Here is a 24,399-nt window from a genome sequence, read left to right as displayed (position 1 = left end):
TGGAGCTGCTAAACCTGCTGTGCAGAAACAGAGGTGGGCGGAGCCTCTCAAAGCCCCATCCTTGGTGGGGACACTGACTTGTCCTGAGTGTCTGGAGATCGTCTGGTCCTGAGTTTCTGGAGATCGTCAGCTCCTGCTATAGCTACTGCCTCCAGGGGTTTGATTCTGAGATCATGTCTCAGTCATGCTCCCAGACCTCTGCCAGAAAAGACCCCTGAGATCAAGGACCCATGAGAGTCAGATAAAGTGGGTGACCCCCACCCACTATGCCGGGCTCTGAATTTGGTGGACAGCCCTCCACCCTGGTGCAATGGAATGGCTATAGTGGCCACTTCACCTCCTTAGGCCTCAGCTTCCCATCTATAAAATGAGAAGCTGACTGTGTGTAAAACTCCGATTTCTTGTTGTGTATTTTAAGAGCATCTTTGGGATCAACAGAAGGCCTATTCTATGTTAAAAGAGACTTTCATATCCCAGGACCTAGTGCTTTCCAGCCTGGGAAGTTTCAAAAAGACTCATAGAGGCCAAGAGCACAGAGGATAGAGGCCCAGGAGGAGGAGGCGGGGAGACACAGAGACACTGGGCTGGATTTCTCCAACCCTCCACCTTCCCCCATCCTGCTCTCACACAGAGGATTCTTTAACTTCCCACAGAGTCCTTTCAGGAGCATCCCAGAGAGGGAGGCCTTCTTCCTCCCTGGCCAACCAAACCTCCTAACAGAAGTGCTTCGACAGTGCTCACTGAGCTCTGGGTCATCCCCTCATCATAGCCAGTGGCCCCAAACTCACTCTTGGCTCCAGCCATGCAGGTAAGGGGAGGGATTCCTTGGAGGCTTGGCCTTGCACCCTGAGGGAGCTGGGAGCCAGGAGGGACTCAGATGGAGGGGCAGAGAGAGAGCTGAGGCTGTGGTACGAGGCCCAGAGGCATCTCCTTCCCTCCTGACATCATGGCGAAGCTCCTGCCTAGACCCAGTCTAGGAGCCGGGAAGGGAGAGAGAGAAAGGAAGGGGAGCAAATGGAGGGGCAGGAAGGGGAGGGCCACAGTGTACAATGAACCATAGATGCCTTTGGCCCCAAGCCAACTTCCTTAGTGAGCTTCTGGAGCCTGGCCAGCCTGGAAAACATTGCTCCGCTGGTGGGTAAGGAGTGGGCACCTAAAGAGACAGCGCTTTCATTTCTCCTGAGAGGACTCACTTTCACTTGGGAACCTTGCTGGTGGCTAGAGCAGGAATGGCTGAGGAGCCGGTTTCAGGTTCTCAATGAATAGACAGTGATCTGGGGCTTTTCTCAAAAAGCCTAAGATATTCTCACACAGAACAAAGGCTCCAGAGTAATAAAGACAATTCAGAGCTGGGAGGTGGGGGTGGGAGGGTTTCCTCTGACCCAGGAACAGTGAGACTTAGATGAAGGAACATGGGCTGGCTAGCTGCATGGTCCTGGACAAGTTGCTTAACCTCTTTGGGTCTCCATTTCTTATCTGACCAATGGGGCTGATGCTTCCTTACAGGATTGCTGTAAGGAGTCAGCAATGACAGATGTGGTAACACATCTGAAAGCACCTGGCACCTTGACCTGGCACATTGTAGACGCTCAACAAATTGTTCTTTTTCTCCTGATGGTGTAGTGTCTTGTCAAGTTTGTGCTTATCTATCCAAACCTCCATCCAGATATCTATCTATTATCTATCTTCATCACCATTATCTGTCAATCTGTCTATCCTGTGTTTAATCTTCCCAATCATATTGTTAGTATTTTCATTGCAAGGGGCTTGAATTGTACTTCTATGTAGACATCCAGTAAATATGTTAAGAGACTGATTACCCCTGGTGGCCAGGGAAAGCCAGATCTTAAGTGAAAGTAGGTATGATAAGGCGTCTTATCTCCCACTTTCAAACAATGCTTCATTCTAGTGTTGGCTTCTTCTTAGATTTTCTTCAGATCAAGTGAAGAAATGCCTGGGAGGGGAATTTCCAGGAAAACTAGGTTCTTCTCCAGTATTCCCAGGCATTCTTGCTCCGTGGATCCAGAAACCCCAGCAACCTCTGCACCACACCTCATTTCCAAGTGTGACCTCTGGTCTCAGGAGGCCTAAGGTCAGTGTTAGGACGTTCAGGATGTTCAGATGTACTGCCCACAGGATACTGATCTCAGTGTCCACCTCTTACTCCACATGGTCATACTCTCTCCTAAGTGTCCCGGAAAAACAAAGGCAAGAGGACATAGATATGTCTTGCCTTGTACCTCAATCATAATGCATGCAGGATACTAAGTCATAATAACACCGTACATTTGTATAGTGCTTTGCAGTTTTCAGAGCCTTTGGCTGTGCATATGCTTTATCTTTGAGCCATATAATAATCCTGTGAAGCAGGCAGGGCTTTTTAAAAAATTGTTATTTTACAGATGAGGAAGCTGTGCTAGTCAGCCAGCTATTAAGGGGTGGAGTCGGCATGGACTGGAATCCAGGTCTTTGAATTTCAAATCAGCCGCTTACCCAAGTCCATTCAATAATGGTGGGGAGTACAGTGAAACAGAGTTCAACTAAAGCAGAGGACAGAGAAAACCTGTGGGTCTTCCCCTTGCCTGGGACACTGTAGTGGGAAAAGATTACTTTTTGCACCTGTGCTTCCCAGGAAATACTGCCTGTCAGAACTGAATACCCTTCTCACCTGCAATCCCAGCTGGAACGTCTAGGACAATCTCAACCCTCTCATCTTCCTTCTTCCCCCACCCTCAACACCTGATGGACCCTCACTCTTGATACCTTGTTCTGTCTTATCTCCCAACGCCTGGCTCAGCAACTCCTCATCTTAGAAATGGGCATCTCCAAAAAGAGGCCTGAATGGCTCTGTGCAAGATGAGCCTTTGAATTATAGGAGAAAATATTAGAACTTCTATGGCTTCAAACAATGGGAGAGATATTGTACTTTACTAATATTTACTATGTGCATGGATACTGGCTGCTCACCAGTGTGATAGGAAGACTGTCCAAGGTCATGTATAGCTGGGCCAAGCCACGTGAACCTGAGGATGGAGTGGGGGCTTTACAACATGGAGGGCTTGGTCTTGCAATCCTTTGCTTTGGGACCAGGTTAAATGGATTGATGATTTGTTTTCACCAAATTAACCCTAAATTGATGTGTGGCTTAAAAAAAGATTATTGCAAAAATGAACTACTGAAAGGAGATAACACTAGTAATGGAAACAGCAAGAAAATGGTAGCACTGACACTTCACTCATCGTCACCTAATTAAACATCTTCCAAATGAAGAGTTTTCAAACTCTTGTTAAAAATATAAAAGTGCCAATGGCAAATGTGGAAGAACAATTGATCGACATCAGAGAAGATGACATTTCCTAACTGAATTTAGACACAATTTGCATAATTGGTAAGATAGAAAAATTATTATTATAGCAAGCACAGCCAATGTAGTTAGTGCCTTTTCCATTTGGATTTCTGCACTTTAGTGAAGTATCATTTTTTTCAATTCTGAAAGTGATTAGAACTAAATATCAAAATAATTTGAACTTAAAACTAGTCTTCTAAATATCATAATGCAGAAGCTTAATATGAAAATAATACAAACATGATAAAACATAACAACCTCAGTACAAATATTAGTTTTCATAAAAATTTGTTCCAGTGAAAAGGGTTTTCCTGGGTATGGTTAACAAAATAAAAGCTTAAAAAGTAGTGTTATGTCATCTTTCATCTTTATCTCACCCATTTAAATGCTTTTTTTTTTGTATATCTTATCACACATACCATATATTAGGACATAAGACAGTCTCTAAATAAATTAATGTACACAGGTTGAGGACATAGGATCAAAGTGTGGAGACAGTTGGGCCAGGCTATTGAGGAAGTTCCTGACTGTTTTTTCAACTTCCAAATATATTCCCCTCTTGACAATCACCAGGCCGATCTTCGTAAAAACCCAGAGCGGATCAGGTCACTTCTCTGATTTCAGCTCTGTGTTGAGGTGAGTGGGTAGCAAAGGGTGCCAGCCCTAGTTGCTGGGCAACTTCAGGGGCTGGGCAGGCAATGTGATGCATGAAGGCTGAGTGTAACGACTGGTGGGAACCGTGGTAAACAGGAGAGTTCTTTGGCTAAAAACATTCCAATCTGAAAAAATGTAAACCTGGACAGGTGACAAAAAATACCGCTGTGGCCTGGATCCTATGTGGGGGCTGGCAATGGTAAGTTCGGAGCAGGTCAAGACCAACCTTGTTTCTCTGGAAAACGCTGTGCATCTCTCCAGGTAGGTCCCTTGCGGCTTCCTCCCGAACACTCTGTGCATTGTGGTCATTCCTAGTTTGTGCTAACTTTGCTCTGTGATATCTTCTTCCTGGCCAACGAAGCTTTAGCTAAACTAAAACTGGCCCTGATGTTCTCTCCTCCATGGAGTGCCTTGACTTCCCTTGGTAACTTTCTCTCCTTGTGCTGCCCTTGTACAGTGCTCTTGCTGGGCCTTACTGGGCTCAACAGTCACGGACCTACCTGTCTCTACCACTAAGCTAGGGCTTAGCTAGGGCTCCTTGAGGTCAGGTACTTTGTTCTGTTAATTGTTTCATCCCCAATATTGAAGTCAGTGCCTTGATCACATCGTGGGTCTTCAAAAAGTCTACTGAGCCAATGAACAAATGCGATCAATGGTATCTGCACATTTGGGCAACAGCAGTGTATTACGAGCTTCTTATATTTGCTTCTAATTTCTTTGTTTTTTATTTATTGAGATAGAATCTCGCTCTGTCGCCCAGGCTGGAGTGCAGCGGCATGATCTCGTCTCCCTGCAACCTCCGCTTCCTGGGTTCAAGCAATTCTCCTGCCTCAGGCTCCAGAGTACCTGGGATTATAGGCATGTGCCACTGTGCCCTGCTAAGTTTTGTATTTTTAGTAGGGATGGGGTTTCACCACATTGGCCAGGCTGGTCTTGAACTCCTGACCTCAGGTGATCCGCCTGCCTTGGCCTCTCAAAGTGCTGGGATTACAGGTGTGAGCCACCGCTCCCGGCCTGCTTCTAATTTCTAATAATAATAAATACATACCTTCCTCTTGCTACACTGCACAACCCACACCCCCCGCCATTGCCCCAGCTCCAAGGCATAAACCTCCAGATTCTAGAGATGCTTAAAGGACTGGAGAAAAAGGCAATGGCAGGTGGTGAAAACTCATTTCTCAGCGATGTCACTGCAGTGGAGACAAACCATGCAGGTAAGGCAGTGTTTCCCAAGATGTGGCCTGTCCAGAGGTGCTTCTGTCAGAAAGAATCACCAGGGGTGTACTTGTTAAAACGCACATTCCTGGGCATCTCCCCAGACCTACCGAATCAGAAGATCAAGAAATGAGGCCTAGGAATCTGAATGTCAATCAGCTCCCCAGGTAATTCTTATTGACTCTAAAATTTGAGGACTATGGCTATAAGGTAGAGCTCTCATTTCATTCATCGTTGATTCAGTTAATAAATATTACCGAATACCTACTCATTCCATACCAGGCACTGTGCTAAGTGCTGGTGGAATAATGCTGCTTCAGTTGCACCTGGCCTTTCCTTTGAAGCTTACAGTTTAGAGGTGGAGGCAGACAATACCTAAGAAACACATTTAGGCCGGGCACAGTGGCTCACACCTGTAATCCCAGCAATTTGGGAGGCTGAAGCTGGAGGATCACTTGAAGTCAGGAGTTTGAGACCAGCCTGACCAACATGGTAAAACCCCATCTCTACTAAGAATACAAAAATAAGCCAGATATGGTGGTGCATGCCTGTAATCCCAGCTACTCGTGAGGCTGAGGCATGAGAATAGCTTGAACCTGGGAGGCGAAGGCTGCAGTGAGCAGAGATTGTGTCACTGCACTCCAGCCTGGGTGTCAGAGTGAGACTCTATTTCAAAAAGACAAAGAAAGAAAAGAAAAGAAAGAAAGAAAGAAAAAGGAAAGAAAGAAAGAAAGAAAAATTTAACTACAGTGTGTGATAAGAGCTCTGAAATACAAAAAATGGAGCAGGGCTGGCCAGGTTAGATGGAATGACCTAGCAATATCTCTTCGAGAGGTGACATTTAAGCTGATTCCTAGAGGGTGGGAAGGAGTCAGCCATGTGTTGAGGAAGGCAGGGGAGGCAGGGCAGGGCCTGGGGCCAGAGCTCTCTCAGGGGTTGCAGGAAGGCTGGGCAGGGGCTGGGGGCAGAGCTCTCTCAGGGATTCAGGGAACACCCTGTGGGAACCCCTAGCCCAGGCAAATGGGTCCTGACTGGAGGAGAAGCAGAGGGCTGGCCTTCCACCTCGTCAGCAGCCTCCCCATCTCAAATCCTGGGAAACTGGAATAGCTACGCTAACATAAACCTCAGGTTAGACTTGGAATCTTTCATAACTCTTGGGGTTCAGCCAGACTCCCACAGTCTGAGAACCCCCAAAGCCAGGGGAGGTCTCCACCCACTCTCTCCAACCCTTGATGCTTTGTTCTTTTTCTCTCAATCAGCCTTTTCTTCTGAGCTGCTAAGTCACTGGCACCTTTAGAAGACTGTCAGAAGCTGAGGTTATTAAAGACCTCAAGTCACAAACACAATCACTGGCACTGTGGGCCACAGGGCGATTGAGGGAAAGTGGGTTGGATCTACCGAAAGCAGGCTGAGTCCCTGCTGAGGACAGACCATCCACACCCCTTACTGTGCACCGTGGGAAGCTGCTTCCAGGGAGGGGCGGCCTGGACGAAAGATCTGTGGCCGACACTGTAATCCCAGCCGCGGAGACTGGGAACCATTACAGGAAACAACCTCACCAAGTCCCCAGCATCACTTTACCCACTGTAAAGAGCTCAGGCTCAGCATGCCCAGCCTTACCACGTTCCCTCAACTCAAATAAATAATACATTAAAAAAATGAAAAAGCATTAATGCCATTGCCAGAGGGTCAGGCAATACATACATTAGTTTCATTTATCAAAATGCTTCCCTGGTCAGTTTCCAGGGGTTCTTGATTCCAAATATACTTCTGCATCTTCTACAGCATGTTTTAGAGCTGAATGGGGCTTCTTATTTCTCCATTTCATTCACCAAGTTGACCCTGCCCACCCTGGCTTGGCATTTTCCCCGGGAGCTAACGGGTGCTGCTAGATGAGGGGGTCTGAGGGTCTGTGTATCACAGAAGATGGAAAGTCTTGGTGGTGAGGCCAGCCGAGCTTGGGGCTCTGGGATGGTGGGTCTTGTTTGGCATTGGACATTTCAGTCTACGTGGCTGAGTGAAACAGAACACAGGCATTGGAGTCAAACCTGGGTTCTGGTTTCTTGGCTCTGTGATCTTGGCAAATCACCAAGTTTCAGTTCTCAGTTTCAGTTTTTCTTCTGTAAAATGGGGATAACATACCTACTTTATAGTATAAGTAGGCTATCTTACATTTTGCCTGGTACAGGGTGTGCTCAATATGTATTTTTTTTTTTTAGATGGTGTCTCGCTCTGTCATTCAGGCTGGAGTGCAGTGGCACGATCTTGGCTCACTGCAACCTCTGCCTCCCAGGTTCAAGTGATTCTCATGCCTCAGCTTCCTGAGTAGCTGGGATTATAGGTGCCTCTCACCATGCCTGGCTACTTTTTGTATTTTTAGTAGAGATGGGGTTTACCATGTTTCCCAGGCAGGTCTTGAACTCCTAACCTCAAGTGATCTGCCCACCTCTGCCTCCCAAAGTGCTGGGATTACAGGCTTGAGTCACCACAGCCTGCTCACAATGTATTTTTTGATCTGTAATTTCAGACCCAGGGCCTTGAGTAGCCAGTTGCACCCTCCCTGGAACCATTTGGTGGTGTAAGATGCTGGCATGGCACCCAGCGTCAGAAGCCTTCCAGCCCCAAAGGGCTAGAGTCAGCACACATGGAGAGGATCTTTGCAGCACTGGGTTCTCAGGGTTCTGCAGCAGCATCAGCCTGCTTGGTTGGCTCCAGAGCCTTGGGATACAGATCTCATGGGCTGGGGCTCACTTTGCTGACCTTCACAGCAGCTCAACACCAGCCTCAGGGCAAACCCAAGTCCCAGCTGCCAACCACTTCAGATAAAAACAGGCCCACAGCAAAGTTTTCCATTTCTTAATGGAATTTTATTATTCCATTAATTTTATTACTTTTTCCTTTCAAAAAAATTTGAGAGCCAACTGTGTGTCAGGTGCTTTTCTAGGTGTTAGTGACACAGCCGTGAGTAGAGTCCCTGCTTAAGTGAAATGTATATCCTATAGGTAAGAGACCAGAAAATAAAGAAATGTATACAGACGTCGATGCAATGTTGCGTAGGAATAAGCACTATAAAGAAATGTAAAGCTGGCTAACGATGACGGGGCATGATGAGGGTTCTATTCAGATGGGCCTAAAATAGAATGTCTCTTCGAAGAGGTGACATTAAAAGGAGGCCCAAAAGAAGGAATGCTGTTCTATTCCTGCTCCCCTCCTCCACCCTCATTGTGCTCTGGTCAGCATTATTCCTGGAATTCTACTACAATCAGATCACTTCCCAGCTTAAAGATCCTTCAGTGGTTATTTTTCTGAAAAAGCCGGAACACCTTTGGCATGGTATTCAAAAGATTTCAGGATACGGTCCCAAAGATCACTACTCTGTGACTCCCCAGTTTCAACCCACCCTGAACTACTCACACTTCTCCAACTGCCGCCAGGTGGCTCACCCGGTTTCTTTTTTTTCAACCCCTACCTTCCCCTAGTCTTTGCACATGCTGTTCCCCTGCCTGGAACGCCCTTTGTCTTCTCCCTCTTTTCCATCAGGCCAACCCCAGTAGGTCCCTCAGAGGCCCTCCTGTCCCAACCAGGTTTTCTCCTCATCTTCTAGGCTGACCCCTTGGATAGCACCCACCATACCATGAACCACAGGATCCTTAGTTTGTATCCTTGCCTGTCCTCCATACCAGACTATGAGCCCCTACAGAAATTATTTGCATCCATCCTTAATTCTTAGTATAGAACCAAACGCATAGCAGGTGTTGACTGGATTAGTAAGGGAAAATAATTCATTCTGTTTGTCACTTCATTGAGCCCTTTTCAGCATGGCTTATTTAAAAAATTATGGCACATAGTAGGTATATATATATTGATGGGATACATGAGATATTTTGATACAGACATGCAATGTGTAATAATTATATTAGGGTAAATGGGGTCTCCATAACCTCAAGCATTCATCATTTCCTTGTGGTACAAACATTCCAATTGTACTCCCTCAGTTATGTGAAAATGTACAACAAATTATTGCTGTCTGTAGTCACCTTGTTCTGCTATCAATAACAGATCATATTCATTGCATTGCTTTCATTGCATATTTTGTACCTGTTAATCATCCCTACATCCCCCCAACCCCACTACCCTTCCCGGCCTCTGTTAACCATCATTCTACTTTTCTATCCCCGTGAATTAAATTGTTTTAATTTTTAGCTCCCACAAATGAATGAGAACCTGGGAAGTGAGCTTTTCTGTGCCTGGGTTATTTCATCTAACATGTCCCCCAGTTCCATCCATGTTGGAAATGACAGGATCTCATTTGCAAAATCAGCATTTCCCTAACTGCCTCTACAGGTCAGTCACATTTCATATTCCAATATTCGCCATCACAGCCATTCTGTCCCCCATACCCTGCTCTTCTCATTTTTCCCTGCCTCATCTCCTTCTAGCAGCCTCCACAGTCGAGTCATTTGTTATGTTTATTATTGATTGGTCTCCTCCCCGTAGTGCACAAGCTTCACATGGGCAGGGTCTTTATCTCTTTTCTCCCTGCTGTATTCCAGTGCCTGGCACACGGTAGGGGGACACATTTGTTGAATGAATCACAGCAACTCAATGCTGCTGGCATTTCAGGATTCCCACTTGGGAACAGAGAGCCAGGGGGTAGCCTTGCCCAAGGAGGCACAACCAGTGAGGCTGACGGCAGGTTCGAGTCCCCTCCCAGCCTGAACTCTTGCAGCTCTGTGGGCTGCTTCTCAGTGTCCTGCTCCACAACCAGATTGAAAAGTGAGCCCGCTGGCTCAGGAGCTGTGCCCTGGTTACAGCTGGTGCTCTACCTGCTGGTGGTGGTGGGGTTGTGCTGGATTTCCTCATGCTCAGGAGTAGAGATTAGAGACACCTGGCTTCAGGTGGGGATTGGGGGTGGGTGGGAAGCCGGCAGGTGATTTGGCGGAGAGGCTTGATTTGCACAGACCCTTCCACTTCGGACTCCCAAAGTGCAGAGATTACAGGTGTGACCCACCTCAGCTGGCCAAGAACTCAGGTTGCTAATCCCTCCAGTATGCATTTGCTTTGTAAACAGTCCTGCAGCCAGCTCAGGTGTGGCCCTGACTTGGCCTAGCCAGGCCTCTTCCCGGGACTTCCCAGAGGTGCTGCCCTGCTGCTGCTGCCATCTTCCCAAAACTCTGGCAAGCCCACCTCAAATTCTAAAGGGGCGCTGAGGGCTCCAGTGAGGCACACTTAGTGTGCCCCCGCAAACTGAGTCCTCACCTTCTCCCATCCGTGCCCCCATCTCCTCGCCACCCCCTCACCCCCCTGCCACCATGCCCCACACATGCCAGTCTCAGTCACACCTCTGCCTGTACACACCCTGCCTGCCTGTCCCTCTTCCTGGAAGGCCTCTCCCTTCTTTTTCCACTTACTGAACTGTTCCTCCTCCTCCAAGAGCCAGGCCAAAGATTGTCCTCTCTGGGAGGCCTTCTTGCTGCCTGGCCCTCTACACACACATGTGCACTAAGATACTCTGTAAACACACATACCTTGTATACACACACACAAACACATGCACATACAAGGGCACAGACACACACACCACCCAGATTCTTCACATAGACATGTAGTTGTACACACAGACAAGACACACGTACCATATACACTATTCAGTCACACGCATATAACATATGCACGTACACCCATAAACCCCTTCCCCTCCACATGCACACACCCCCGTATTCCCTCCCAAATACCACCACTCACATACACAGATGTGCCCCACCACCCCTCCTTCCCCACACCCATCACACACCTGCCTCAGCCCCATACTCCCTCCCCTTGACAGCAGCTGCTCACCGCTTCTCTACGCTGCTGGGCCTGTCTGTCTTTCAGCAGGTCCTGCCCTGTGCCATGGCATGTTCATTCCCTGTCCCTCACTCCTTGACTGAGAGCCCTGTCTGAGCCCCGGTCCTTAACACTGGCATCTGGCACACGGAGGGAAAATTGGGAGGTGAGTGAATGAATCCAAGGGAGCTCAGGAGTGAAGGGTGGGGCTGAAATGAGCCCTGGAAATGATTCGGGCCAGGCGTAACAACCAGGAGAGTGCAACCCTGGGCATGAGGAGGACTGGGACAGGACAAGTGTATCTTTGTTTTGAATATCAAAAATAAACAAAGAAACAAAACAATAAAACAGCTCCCCAGGTGACTCTCATGTACATCCTTGGTTGAGAACTGCTGGTCAGGACCACCAGCCCCCCATTTTTTAAAAACAGGAGAAGCAGATGGTTCCACCCCACACAGCAGGGTCAGGACCTGAGCCTGGGCATGGTAGCATTGACTGAGCTTGCCTTGCAAAACTCATGAAGGGTGCAGGCTGTGGGATGATCACTTTACAGGCAGAAAGAGCACAGGAGGGCTGAGCTGCACCAGCTCTGGACTGCTGGGGGTGGGAATCCTAAATGCCTTTGTTTGGGGAGTAGCAGGTGCAGAGCAGTGGCCTTAGGTCAGGGGTGGTTTTTCCCCCAGCGGACATGTAGCAATTAATGTCTGGAGACATTTTTGATGGTCCCAATTTTAGGGGGCAGGTGCTATTCATACCTGGGGGTAGATACCAAGGTTGCTGCTAGACATCTTGTGATACACAGACAGCCTCCGTAACAAAGAACTATCCAGCCAAAAGAGTTAGCAGAGCCACGATTGAGAACTCCTGGTGTAGACAGAGGAACGTGGGCTTTTGAAAGATATCCGAGCTCTGCGTGTGACCCCGGACAAATCACTTCCCTGATGCCTCTGAACTTTGGTTTTCTCGTTCGCAAAAGGCAATAATCATGCCTATGTCACAGGATTATTGTCAGCATCAGCTTTCACTTTAAAGCACCTAGCCCAACACAGGGCGCATGGAAGGTGCTTAATAAACCGCGGCCTTCCGGAGCATCCTCTGCATCCACGGTGAACGTCCACCTTCCTTTTCTTCCTAAAGACTTCCACATTCGCCTATGCCAAAATTTTTCAGGATCTACATCCCAGCGTCTCCCTGATCTCTTGGCTTTGGAGGTAACCCTGCTCTGCCCAGGCCTTCCTCCCTTTGAACTTCATGTGCATGTAAGGGGGGGTTCTGAGTCCATCATCTTCCTCAATCCTCCCATCCTGAATATTCAAACATATCTGCGTTGGACACAGGGCACGTGGAGAGTGTGTGTGTGTGTCTTTGTGTGTGTATCCACTCATGAGCATTTTTACACTTTCCTCTCTGGTCTGGTTTTCAGCAAGATGATGATGGGGCATCGCTGATTTGGAGGTACAGCATTTCATCTGTAAACGTGTCTGAACGTACATCCTTAGGTGCACTCACCATCTGAAAATTAGAAAGGCCTACAACCACAAGTGAAACTTCCCTTTTCTCCAGTATTGCTCTGCCTTGCTCTAGGTTTTTGAGGAATCTGCCACCCTTGTTTGGACAGAACAATGTCAAGGAACTCCAGAAGGAGATGGTGAAGGATGCTTCCCAGTCCCAAGCATCTCTGGGCCTTGATGCTTTCCTGCCTGCCTCAGGAGTTCAATACACCCATGAGAGGTCCCCAGATAGCCCACTGAAGAGCCAGGTCCAGAAGCGAAGTTCCATGGGGAGTGCTCAGCCCAGCCTTTCTCTCTTCACTGGATGAGCTGATCTCTTCTCTGCAGGTGCAAACCCATAGTAGGGGCCACTGCCCCAGGCTGCTCCGAGCACGCTTTCCGTCAAAGTTGCCAGGGTCTCAGAGGCTGGATGATCAGGTGACTGTGCCCTGCCTTGCTGTCCTGCTCTGGAGCAGCACTCTTTGCCCTCGGTTGGCAGCCAGTTCTAGGGGCTGAGCTGACATGCTCATTCCCCTGTCCCCCAGCCCTTAGCCGCTGAGCAGGGCTGGGCTGCAGCAGCCTCTGTGCTCACCCCACCCACCCATTACCTGCTGTCTCCCCACCTGAGCAGGCCCTCCACCTGCCCACGATGAATTTTTCCATCACTCACCCTGAGAGGCCTCCAGGCCAAACAACCCTGCCTGCTACCTGCCCTGGCAAGTGGGCAGCCTGCTCCAGAAGACACCCTAAGGAAGACACAGAAATGCCCAGCCAGAACAATTGGCCAGAAATCTGGCTCGAGCTGTCTTCATGAAAAAGAGATACTAAATGAATCTTCACGAAAAAAAGACACTAAATGAACTTGAATGGGTGGATGAAAGCTTCTCTCATCTTAAAAGGTCACCTCCTTTTACGAGGTCACCAACACATCCACTAATTGCAATTCCCCCTTCTTCCTGTTGGAGTCTTAATGTAAGAGCTCCTCGTGAAGCTGGGTCCTCTTGCCTCCCTCCATTTGCTCCCCTCTATTACACCCCACCCCACCCTCTTTCTAAAATGCAGATCCCATCATGTCACTCCCTTCCTCAAAAGCCATCAGTGGCTCCCCATTGCCTCTAATAGAAGTTCTAAATTCCAAATCATGCTCGTTCAGGCCCTTCATGGTCTCTTCCAGCTGCCTTCCCTAGTCCTTACTCCCATTACAGGCTCACTTTCAGCATGCTTTAACCTACATCCCAGACACAGCAAGCAAGTTCTGCCTTCTTTGCCATTATGCTTTTGTTTCTTTTACCTGGAGTAATACCCGCCCTTTCCCATTTCCCCGCTCTTGAAACCGTACTCATCCTTCAAGACACACTTCAAATGGCTCTTCCTTTTCAGAACCTCCTAGCTCAAGTGACTCTCTTTTGTCCCATAGCACTTTGTCCCCATAACACAGCCAAGTGCTAGAGTTGATTGAATGCACATTTTTCTTCCCCAGTAATAAAATCTCCTTGAAGTCAGGGACTATGTGTTATTAATCACTGTGGTCGGCACCCCCCATGTCCTGCATCCCATTGCTTGGCATAGACTAGGGACTAGATAAATTGTGGAATTGAAGAGTGTTCTGCAAGCTGTTTTAGGAACCATGAAGGCTGACAGATGGGGGTGGGGGCTCAGCGACTGCCAGAAATCCAGGCAAATAGGAGTGTGGGCAGAGCAGTCAGCCTGGAGTACAACCAGGAAAGATGCAGAGATTTCCTGGAGGCATGCTCCAGTGGTCGGGAAGCCCGCCACCCATGATGACATGCTATTTTCCCATCTGTCAGAGCTAGGCGGCCTCTTTCCTTCCTCAGCCTCTTTCTCTTCTCTCCAGCTCCCATCTCTGGCTGTTCTCCAGGGGAAATTTATATCTGTAATGGTGGAATAATTAGCTCCCAAACCCGGCGTGCATTAACCTTGAATTGATGGTGTCAGCTAATGAGAGAGGGAGCAGGAGGGCTCAGGAATTATAGTGCACTCCTTTCTGCGGGGCCTGACTTGAGCTGATTGGTTTCTAAACCCCAAGAGAGTCCTTGCACATGTTTTCACTCCCAGGTAAGAGACATCATTGCAGGGGTTCCCACGTTCTATGTCCAACATCAGTCATCATTTTAGTCAAATATTCCCCAAACCCCAAGTAAATAAAACAATATATTTCTTCCCACAATGATATTATCTGTGGACCTCCAGTTGCTCTGGCAACAGGGAGATACCCTGTTAGTATGTTACCCTTACTTGCCAACTGTGTACACCTGGACTAGCTACTTGGTTTGAGTCTCTGTTTTCTTAACTGTAAGATGAAGATAATTATAGTATCTACTTTATAGGGTTATTGTATGAATCAAATAACCTCATATATACAGATGTTCAGTCCATAATGTGAGCTGTTATGATTATTACTTAATCCAGGTGAGCATCATGACACTGCATGTTTTCCAGGCCTCAGTTTCCCTCACTCTAAAATAGGGAGTGGGACTCGGCCATCAGTAAGTCTCATCTGGAATGCTAAGATGGGACCCTTCTTAAGTTTTCCCACCACGCTGTGTGCCCAATCCTCCTGCTATTTCTTATCACCTGAAATCTTGCTTGATTTGTTCCATTCAGTGATGTAAAAAAATTTAAAAATGTCTTCAATAATAGTGGTAATAGTCCTACTAATTCGACGATGGAGGAAGAGATTTCCCTTAAGAGCTCCAATTAAAGCTGCTTCTTGCAGTCCAGGGAAGTTACTACACCATCACCAGCTGATTCCTTGATGATTTTTATCTCTGGCAATCAACTGTATCCATTCACATTATAATCCTTACATCTGCATAGTATTTTACAGTTTAGAGGGTTTTTCCATCTCTATCGTCTCAATTCACCCTATCAATAATCCCCTGGCAGAGCTGGAGTAAATAATATCACTCCCATTTGATACACGGAAACGTTCATTCATTCGTCTGCTCATTCATTCCACGAATGTTTACGGAATGCATTTTGTACTAGCTGCCACAGTTCAGATGCTCGGCATATGTGGCTGAGGTGTCACTGCTCTAAGTAAGGGGTGGTTCTGGGTCAGGGTTCAAGGCCTCCTTGTGCTGGGTTCAGTGTGCCTGCACCCCCAACAATGCTCTCTTGCAGTCTGCCCTTGTTACTACCCCTGAATCCTGATGCTGAAGCCCTCATCCAAGAAAGCATTTCAGCCGAGGCACACCCTTGGGTTCCTCTGCTCAACCTTAGCCACCTGCTGACTTGCTGCTCACCCTTAAGCCCTAGCTCCTCTTCTGTGAGCTAGGGGGAGGCCCCAACTGTCAGGCCTCTGAGCCCAAGCTAAGCCACCATATCCCCTGTGGCCTGCATGTACACATCCATATGGCTGGTTCCTGCCTTAACTGATGACATTCCACCACAAAAGAAGTGAAAATGGCCTATTCCTGCCTTAACTGATGACATCGTCTTGTGAAATTCCTTCTCCTGGCTCATCCTAGCTCAAAAGCTCCCCTACTGAGCACCTTGTGACCCCCACTCTGCCCGTCAGAGAACAACCCCCCTTTGACTGTAATTTTCCATTACCTACCCAAATCCTATAAAATGGCCCCACCCCTATCTCCCTTCGCTGACTCTTTTCAGACGCAGCCTGCCTGCACCCAGGTGAAATAAACAGCCATGTTGCTCACACAAAGCCTGTTTGGTGGTCTCTTCACACGGACATGCATGAAATTTGGTGCCGTGACTCGGATCGGGGGACCTCCCTTGGGAGATCAATCCCCTGTCCTCCTGCTCTTTGCTCCGTGAAAAAGATCCACCTATGACCTCAGGTCCTCAGACCCACCAGCCCAAGGAACAGCTCACCAATTTTAAATAGGGTAAGTGGCCTCTTCTTACTCTCTTCTCCAACCTCTCTCACTGTCCCTCAACCACTTTCTCCTTTCCACTCTTCAATCTCTCCCTTCTCTTAATTTCAATTCCTTTCATTTTCTGGTAGAGACAAAGGAGACATGTTTTATCCATGGACCCAAAACTCCAGGGCCAGTCACGGACTAGGGAAGGCAGCCTTCCCTTGTTGTTTGATCATTGCAGGGACATCTCTCTGATTATTCACCCATGTTTCAGAGGTGTCAGACCACTCAGGGACGCCTGCCTTGGTCCTTCACCCTTAGCGGCAAGTCCCACTTTTCTGGGGAAGGGGCAAGTACCCCAACCCCTTCTCTGTCTCTACCCCTTCTCCACCTTTCTGGGGGGGCAAGAAACCCCCAACCCCTTCTCCTTCACTCTTAGTGGCAAGTCCCGCTTTTCTAGAGGGGCAAGTACCCCAACCTCATATCTCTGCACCCCAATCCCTTATTTCTGCACCCCAACCTCTTATCTCTGTGCCCTGATCCCTTATTTCCATGCCCCAACCTCTTATCTCTGTACCCCATCCCTTATTTCCATGCCCCGACCTCTTATCTCTGCACCCCAATCACTTATTTCCATGCCCCGACCCCTTATTTCCACGCCCTAACCTCTTATCTCTGCACCCCATCCCTTATTTCCATGCCCCAACCTCTTATCTCTGCGCCCCAACCCCTTATATCCATGCCCCAACCTCTTTCCCACTTTTCTGGAACGTAAGAACCCCCGAACCCCTTCCCTCCGTGCCTCTACTCTCTCTTTTCTCTAGGCTTGCTTCCTTCACTATGGGCAACCTTCCACCCTCCATTCCCCCTTCTCCCTTGGCCTGTGTTCTCAAAAACTTAAAACCTCTTCAACTCACACCTGACCTAAAACCTAAATGCCTTATTTTCTTCTGCAATGCCGCTTGACCCCAATACAAACTCAACAGTAGTTCCAATAGCAAGAAAATGGCACTTTCAATTTTTCCATCCTGCAAGATCTAAATAATTCTTGTCGTAAAATGGGCAAACGGTCTGAGGTGCCTGATGTCCAGGCATTCTTTCACATATCGGTCCCTCCCTAGTCTCTGTGCCCAGTGCAACTCGTCCCAACTCTTCCTTCTTTCCCTCCCACCTGTCCCCTCAGTCCCAACCCCAAGCGTCGTGAGTCTTTCTAACCTTCCTTTTCTACAGACCCATCTGACCTCTCCCCACCTCGCCAGGCTGAGCTAGGTCCCAATTCTTCCTTAGCCTCTGCTCCTCCACCCTATAATCCTTTTATCACCTCCCTCCTCACACCCGGTCCGGCTTACAGTTTCGTTCTGTGACTAGCCCTCCCCCACCTGACCAGCAATTTACTCTTAAAAAGGTGGCTGGAGCTAAAGGCATAGTCAAGGTTAATGCTCCTTTTTCCTTATCCCAAATCAGATAGTGTTTAGGCTCTTTTTCATCAAATATAAAAATCCAGCCCAGCTCATGGCTCGTTTGGCAGCAACCCTGAGACACTTTACAGCCCTAGACCCTAAAAGGTCAAAAGGCCGTCTTATTCTCAAAATACATTTTATTACCCAATCCGCTCCCTACATTAAATAAAACTCCAAAAATTAGAATCCGGCCCTCAAACCCCACAACAGGATTTAATTAACCTCACCTTCAAGGTGTACAATAATAGAAAAAAGTTGCAATTCCTTGCCTCCACTGTGAGACAAACCCCAGCCACATCTCCAGCACCCAAGAACTTCCAAACGCCTGAACTGCAGCAGCCAGGCGTTCCTCCAGAACCTCCTCCCCCAGGAGCTTGCTACAAGTGCCAGAAATCTGACCACCAGGACAAGGAATGCCTGCAGCCCAGGATTGCTCCTAAGCCGTGTCCCATCTGTGCGGGACCCCACTGGAAATCAGACTGTTCAACTCACCTGGCAGCCACTCCCAGAGCCCCTGGAACTCTGGCCCAAGGCTCTCTGACTGACTCCTTCTCGGCTTAGCAGCTGAAGACTGATGCTGCCCGATCGCCTCGGAAGCTCCGTAGACCATCACGGACTCCGAGCTTCGGGTAACTCTCACAGTGGAAGGTAAGTCCGTCCCCTTAGTCAATACGGAGGCTACCCACTCCACATTACCTTCTTTTCAAGGGCCTGTTTCCCTTGCCTCCATAACTGTTGTGGGTATTGACGGCCAGGCTTCTAAACCCCTGAAAACTCCCCGACTCTGGTGCCAACTTGGACAACACTCTTTTATGCACTCTTTTTTAGTTATCCCCACCTGCCCAGTTCCCTTATTAGGCTGAGATATTTTAACCAAATTATCTGTTTCCCTGACTATTCCTGGACTGCAGCCGCATCTCATTGCTGCCCTTCTCCCCAACCCAAAGCCTCCTTCGCGTCTTCCTCTCGTATTCCCCCACCTTAACCCACAAGTATGGGATATCTCTACTGCTTCCCTGGCAAATGATCACATGCCCGTTACCATCCCATTAAAACCTAATCACCCTTACCCCGCTCAATGCCAATATCCCATCCCACAGCATGCTTCAAAAGGATTAAAGCCTGTTATCACTCGCCTGCTACAACATGGGCTTCTAAAACCTATAAACTCCCCTTACAATTCCCCCATTTTACCTGTCCAAAAACTGGATAAGTCTTATAGATTAGTTCAGGATCTGTGCCTTATCAACCAAATTGTTTTGCCTATCCACCCTGTGGTGCCAAACCCGTACACTCTTTTGTCCTCAATACTTTCCTTCACAACTCACTATGCCGTGCTTGATCTTAAAGATGCTTTTTTCACTATTCCCCTGCACCCCTCGTCCCAGCGTCTCTTTGCTTTCACTTAGACTGACCCTGACACCCATTAGGCTCAGCAAATTACCTGGGCTGTACTGCCGCAAGGCTTCACAGACAGCCCCCATTACTTCAGTCAAGCCCAAATTTCATCCTCATCTGTTACCTATCTCAGCGTAATTCTCATAAAAACACATGTGTTCTCCCTGCTGATCGTGTCCGATTAATCTCCCAAACCTCAATCCCTTACAAAACAGCAACTCCTTTCCTTCCTAGGCATGGTTAGTGTGGTCAGAATTCTTACACAAGAGCCAGGACCACACCCTGTAGCCTTTCTGTCCAAACAACTTGACCTTACTGTTTTAGCCTAGCCCTCATGTCTGTGTGCAGTGGCTGCCGCTGCTTTAATACTTTTAGAGGCCCTAAAAATCACAAACTATGCTCAACTCACTCTCTACAGCTCTCATAATTTCCAAAATCTATTTTCTTCCTCCCACCTGACGCATATACTTTCTGCTCCCGGCTCCTTCAGCTGTACTCACTCTTTGTTAAGTCTCCACAATTACCATTGTTCTTGCCCCGGACTTCAATCCGGCCTCCCACATTATTCCAGATACCACACTTGACCCTCATGACCTTATCTCTCTGATCCACCTGACGTTCACCCCATTTCCCCACATTTCCTTCTTCCCTGTTTCTCACCCTGATCACACTTAGTTTATTGATGGCAGTTCCACCAGGCCTAATCGCCACACACCAGCAAAGGCAGGCTATGCTATAGTACAAGCCACTAGCCCGCCTCTTAGAACCTCTCATTTCCTTTCCATTGTGGAAATCTATCCTCAAAGAAATAACTTCTCAGTGTTCCATCTGCTATTCTACTACTCCTCATGGATTATTCAGGCCCCCTCCCTTCCCTACACATCAAGCTCAAGGATTTGCCCCAACCCAGGACTGGCAAATTAGCTTTACTCAACATGCCCCGAGTAAGATAACTAAAATACCTCTTAGTCTAGGTAGACACTTTCACCGGATAAGTAGAGTCCTTTCCTACAGGGTCTGAGAAGGCCACTGCAGTCATTTCTTCCCTTCTGTCAGACATAATTCTTCAGTTTAGCCTTGTCATTCCCTTCTGTCAGACATAATTCCTCAGTTTAGCCTTCCCACCTCTATACAGTCTGATAACAGACCAGCCTTTATTAGTCGAATCAGCCAAGCATTTTTTCAGGCTCTTAGTATTCAGTGACAGACTAATGGTCTATTAAAAACACACCTCACCAAGCTCAGCCACCAACTTAAAAAGGACTGGACAATACTTTTACCACTTTCGCTTCTCAGAATTCAGGCCTGTCCTCAGAATGCAACAAGATACAGCCCATTTGAGCTCCTGTATAGACACTCCTTTTTATTAGGCCCCAGTCTCATTCCAGACACCAGACAACTTAGACTGTGTCCCCAAAAACTTGTCATCCCTACTCTCTTCTGTCTAGTCATACTCCTATTCACCATTCTCAACTACTCATACATGCCCTGCTCTTGTTTACACTGCCAGTTTACACTGTTTCTCCAAGCCATCACAGCTGATATCTCCTGGTACTATCCCCAAACTGCCACTCTTAACTCTTAAAGTAAATAAATAATCTTTGTTGGCAAGGCTATGCTGAACCTCCTTAGGCACTCTCTAATCAGATGTCCTGGGTCCTCCCAATTCTTCGTCCTTTAATACCTGTTTTTCTCCTTCTCTTACTCCGTTTAGTTCTTCAATTCATACAAAACTGTATCCAGGCCATCACCAATAATTCTAAATGACAAATGTTTCTTCTAACAACCCCACAATATCACCCCTTACCACAAAATCTTCCTTCAGCTTAATCTCTCCCACTCTAGGTTCCCACGCCGCCCCAATCCCGCTCGAAGCAGCCCTGAGAAACATCGCCCATTATCTCTCCATACCATCCCCCAAAATTTTCGCCGTCCCAACACTTTACCACTATTTCATTTTTCTTATTAATATAAGAAGACAGGAATGTCAGGCCTCTGAGCCCAAGCTCAGCCATCATATCCCCTGTGACCTGCACGTACACATCCAGATGGCCGGTTCCTGCCTTAACTGATGACATTCCACCACAAAAGAAATGAAAATGGCCTGTTCCTGCCTTAACTGATGACATTGTCTTGTGAAATTCCTTCTCCTGGCTCATCCTGGCTCAAAAGCTCCCCTACTGAGCACCTTGTGACCCCCAATCTGTCCGTCAGAGAACAACCCCCCTTTGACTGTAATTTTCCATTACCTACCCAAATCCTATAAAACAGCCCCACCCCTATCTCCCTTCGCTGACTCTCTTTTCAGACTCAGCCCGCCTGCACCCAGGTGAAATAAACAGCCATGTTGCTCACAAAAAGCCTGTTTGGTGGTCTCTTCACACAGACGCGCATGAAACCGACCTTGCCCTTCTGTCCCCCTCCCTCCTTTGTGCCTGTGGATCCATCTCTACTACCATATTTACCACGTAATATTGTAATAGTTTATGTACCTGCATGTCTGTACCTGTTCCCCCACCCCCTCCACATACATCCCACCTGTATACAAAGCCACCAGACAGGAAATTCGGGAGGAAATTTGGGACCCTCATATGATCTCTGCACCACCAAAGTCAAGCCCAGCGCCGGGCACGGGCTCGGTAGATGTTGAATGGACAGAGTCATTTTGAATTTGTCCTTCCCCTTCCTGAGTAATGTTTGGTATCTCATACCCTCTGGGTGTGGATGAATGAGAAAGGGGAGAGGGAGAGGAAGTGGGGAGGAGAGAGTTATGAAAAATGGAAGCTGGAGACCACACCTGGTACCTCTCTGCTTCCTAGGGCAGATTGTTTCAATATGGGATGCCTCTGTTTATAGATGTTCAATAGCTGTAAATGGCTTGTGCATAAGAAACCTCCCATTCCACCCTTACTCATCTCCCACAGACCCTGGGTCAGGAAATTAGAAAGACAAAAAGCAGCCAGGTGACTTGCTTAGAGGAAATGAAAAGGAATTCATGCTGATTGCGGCTCAGGTGCTCCGGCTGCCTCATTACTAGGTCATATTATCCCCACGTAAGGTGAGTCAGTGGTCCCAAAGTTCAAATAAATTGCCCACGTTCACACTGCTGGCTGAGGTGAAATCTGACCCGAGGACCCCTGGTCCTTGTTGAGGCCCCTGCTCTTTCTCTACTGCACACCTCAGAAGAGTGTGGAGAAAGATCCAGAGGGAGTCTGGGATGGCCCCATGAGGAAGTGAGATGAGGGAGCTGAAGGTGCAGGTGCACTCAGGAGCACTGCCAATGACCAGGCTCCATCTGTACCAGGCAGAAGGGTCTCAGTGTAAAAAAAAAAAAAAATTAATCGATGACACTTAATAGAGCACAGTAAGACTTTCTTTGGTAGAGGAACTACGGCAATGGGGTTTTGCAGTTGGGGAGAGAGATTGGGCTCAGCTCTGAATACATCATGGGAAAGTAAGAGTTTACGGCCAGGGAGCAGGTGGGGTCAGTGGATAGAAAAAGACTAAGAGGAACTATCAGGAGTGAGAGGATTCTGGCTAAACCCACCTAAAAGATTTTTGCTGAAGGCAGACCAGGGCGATCAGACCTCACCTAGGGGAGGGCAGAGGGTGCAGAAGCTGAGCAGATATCAAGGGTGTTCAGATATCAAGGGTGGGGTGGGAGTTCTTGCTAAAACTGGGCTTTACAAGAAAATGCACAGATGGACCTAGGAGAAGGTCCAGGAGCCTGGTGAAGGTTTGATCAAGCAAATAATCTTTGTCATTAGATACAAATTAGACAGGTCAAGAGGTGGGAGAGGGCGATGCCTGGAGAAGGTTATGTTGAGCCTGGGGAGTAGTAGGGGTCTCTGTAGGTAGGCTCTGCCTCGTGTTTGTCTGTGGTTACCTTCCCTGCAAAGAGTCCCTGAGCCCAAGAAGATGGGCCAGGAGGTGAAGCCGTCAGGGCCCTTTATCCTGAAGAGACCACCAAGGAAGGGCAGATGGGAACCAGTGACAAACCTCTGAAGGGTCCCTGAAGCCAGAGCTCCAAAGCCCTTGTAAGGGAGAGGGTTGCTCTGCTGGTGTGTGTGTGTGTGCGCGTGCGCACGTGTGTGAAGTTGGAGGTTGTCTGACTCTCAGGAGTGTAAATCGACCCCTGTTGAGTGTGGTTCTCTGGGCTGTTGTCCCTGACGTCACCGACAGTGCCATCTGCAGTAAATCTCCCTCCACCTCAGCTGGCTCCTGCCCCATATGACCATTTGGGTCATGTCCCCCAACCCCACAGGGGCCCCTGCCAGACCAGCTGTCAGGCAAGGCAATTAACTCGTTTTACCAGACGACTCATGAGAAAATATCTCTGATTTGTGGGAACATGATAGATCTGGGAGCTGGCAAATGGCCACAGGGCAGGGACAGCCACCTGAACACAGAGTGCCAGCTCCCTCCCATCTCTGGTTTTGTTCAGCAGCAATTCCCACCTAGAGGCTCAAGCTGAGCTCTAGCTGCTCTCCCCAGCCTCCACCAGGATGACCCCGGCACCATGGGCCCTGACAGAAAGACCTGGAGCCAGGTCTTCGCAGGTGGGACTCAGGGACTGAGATCAGAATGAAGCAGAGGCCCTGCCCGTGACTTGCCTCCTGAGATCGTGTTGACATTGTCCTGCACTTGCACTCCACAGCGAGTTGGCCCTTCGTGAGATCGTGGTGTGTGTAGAATCTTCAGAGATTATGAACTGCCTTGTTCAACCATAATTTACAGGCTGGGGAAATATTATTTGAATTATATGTGGCTTCTTCACTCATTAGTTCAGTCAACATTTGCTAGCACCTGCTCTGGGCTAAGCCTTGTGGTAGGTCGTGGAGACTCAAAGAGGTATAAGACATGGTATATAAGACTCCCCTGGAGGGAGGGGTTCACAGACAACTGGAGGAGAGAAAGTTGTAAACAAGCAACCCACGATGTAAGGCAGGAAGTGCCATTATAGAGAAAGGGGCCTGAGGAGGTGGCAGAAAAGAGGCGGGAGGGCGTGACTACCTGGGACTCTGAGCAGACTCAGCAGGGAGGCAACACCTGGGTTCTTGATGATGAGCAGCCGGGCCCTTCTCAGTGGAGGGAACAGTCTGTGCAAAGGCCAGAGATTGTGAGGGGGAGAAGGAGTCTTAGGAAGACATCACGGTAGGTGACGGAAA

At 48.2% G+C, this 24,399-nt stretch overlaps 1 protein-coding gene and 1 long non-coding RNA gene across 2 annotated transcripts in view, besides 4 other annotated features; one reads left to right on the top strand and one right to left on the bottom strand.

Moving 5' to 3' along the window:
• The window catches only part of GABRP (gamma-aminobutyric acid type A receptor subunit pi), a 31,328-nt gene extending 30,340 nt beyond the window's left edge, over positions 1-988 (bottom strand). Inside the window, exon 1 of the mRNA XM_024446012.2 lies at positions 789-988. The gene's annotated coding sequence lies outside the window, so the exon portion shown is untranslated. The remainder of the gene's footprint in view (positions 1-788) is intronic.
• LOC107986475 (uncharacterized) lies at positions 652-14,033 on the top strand. The gene is made up of 2 exons (XR_001742978.3): positions 652-4,261; positions 12,465-14,033. It is a non-coding gene; the product is annotated as an uncharacterized LOC107986475 (long non-coding RNA).
• Positions 15,057-15,920: an enhancer, noted in NCBI's record as "NANOG-H3K27ac-H3K4me1 hESC enhancer chr5:170194792-170195655 (GRCh37/hg19 assembly coordinates)". NCBI's record gives its function as "activates a minimal SCP1, AML or CMV promoter by ChIP-STARR-seq in primed H9 embryonic stem cells {active_cell/tissue: H9 hESC(primed)}" and the evidence as "EXISTENCE:reporter gene assay evidence [ECO:0000049][PMID:30033119]".
• Positions 15,921-16,785: an enhancer, noted in NCBI's record as "NANOG-H3K27ac-H3K4me1 hESC enhancer chr5:170193927-170194791 (GRCh37/hg19 assembly coordinates)". NCBI's record gives its function as "activates a minimal SCP1, AML or CMV promoter by ChIP-STARR-seq in primed H9 embryonic stem cells {active_cell/tissue: H9 hESC(primed)}" and the evidence as "EXISTENCE:reporter gene assay evidence [ECO:0000049][PMID:30033119]".
• Positions 21,153-21,683: an enhancer, noted in NCBI's record as "OCT4-NANOG-H3K27ac-H3K4me1 hESC enhancer chr5:170189029-170189559 (GRCh37/hg19 assembly coordinates)". NCBI's record gives its function as "activates a minimal SCP1, AML or CMV promoter by ChIP-STARR-seq in primed H9 embryonic stem cells {active_cell/tissue: H9 hESC(primed)}" and the evidence as "EXISTENCE:reporter gene assay evidence [ECO:0000049][PMID:30033119]".
• Positions 23,807-24,337: an enhancer, noted in NCBI's record as "H3K27ac-H3K4me1 hESC enhancer chr5:170186375-170186905 (GRCh37/hg19 assembly coordinates)". NCBI's record gives its function as "activates a minimal SCP1, AML or CMV promoter by ChIP-STARR-seq in primed H9 embryonic stem cells {active_cell/tissue: H9 hESC(primed)}" and the evidence as "EXISTENCE:reporter gene assay evidence [ECO:0000049][PMID:30033119]".

The sequence above is a fragment of the Homo sapiens genome, chromosome 5 (assembly GCF_000001405.40).
Source record: "Homo sapiens chromosome 5, GRCh38.p14 Primary Assembly".
NCBI lineage: Eukaryota > Metazoa > Chordata > Mammalia > Primates > Hominidae > Homo > Homo sapiens.
Note: the sequence above shows the minus strand (reverse complement) of the source record. Positions and strands in the feature narration are given on the sequence as shown.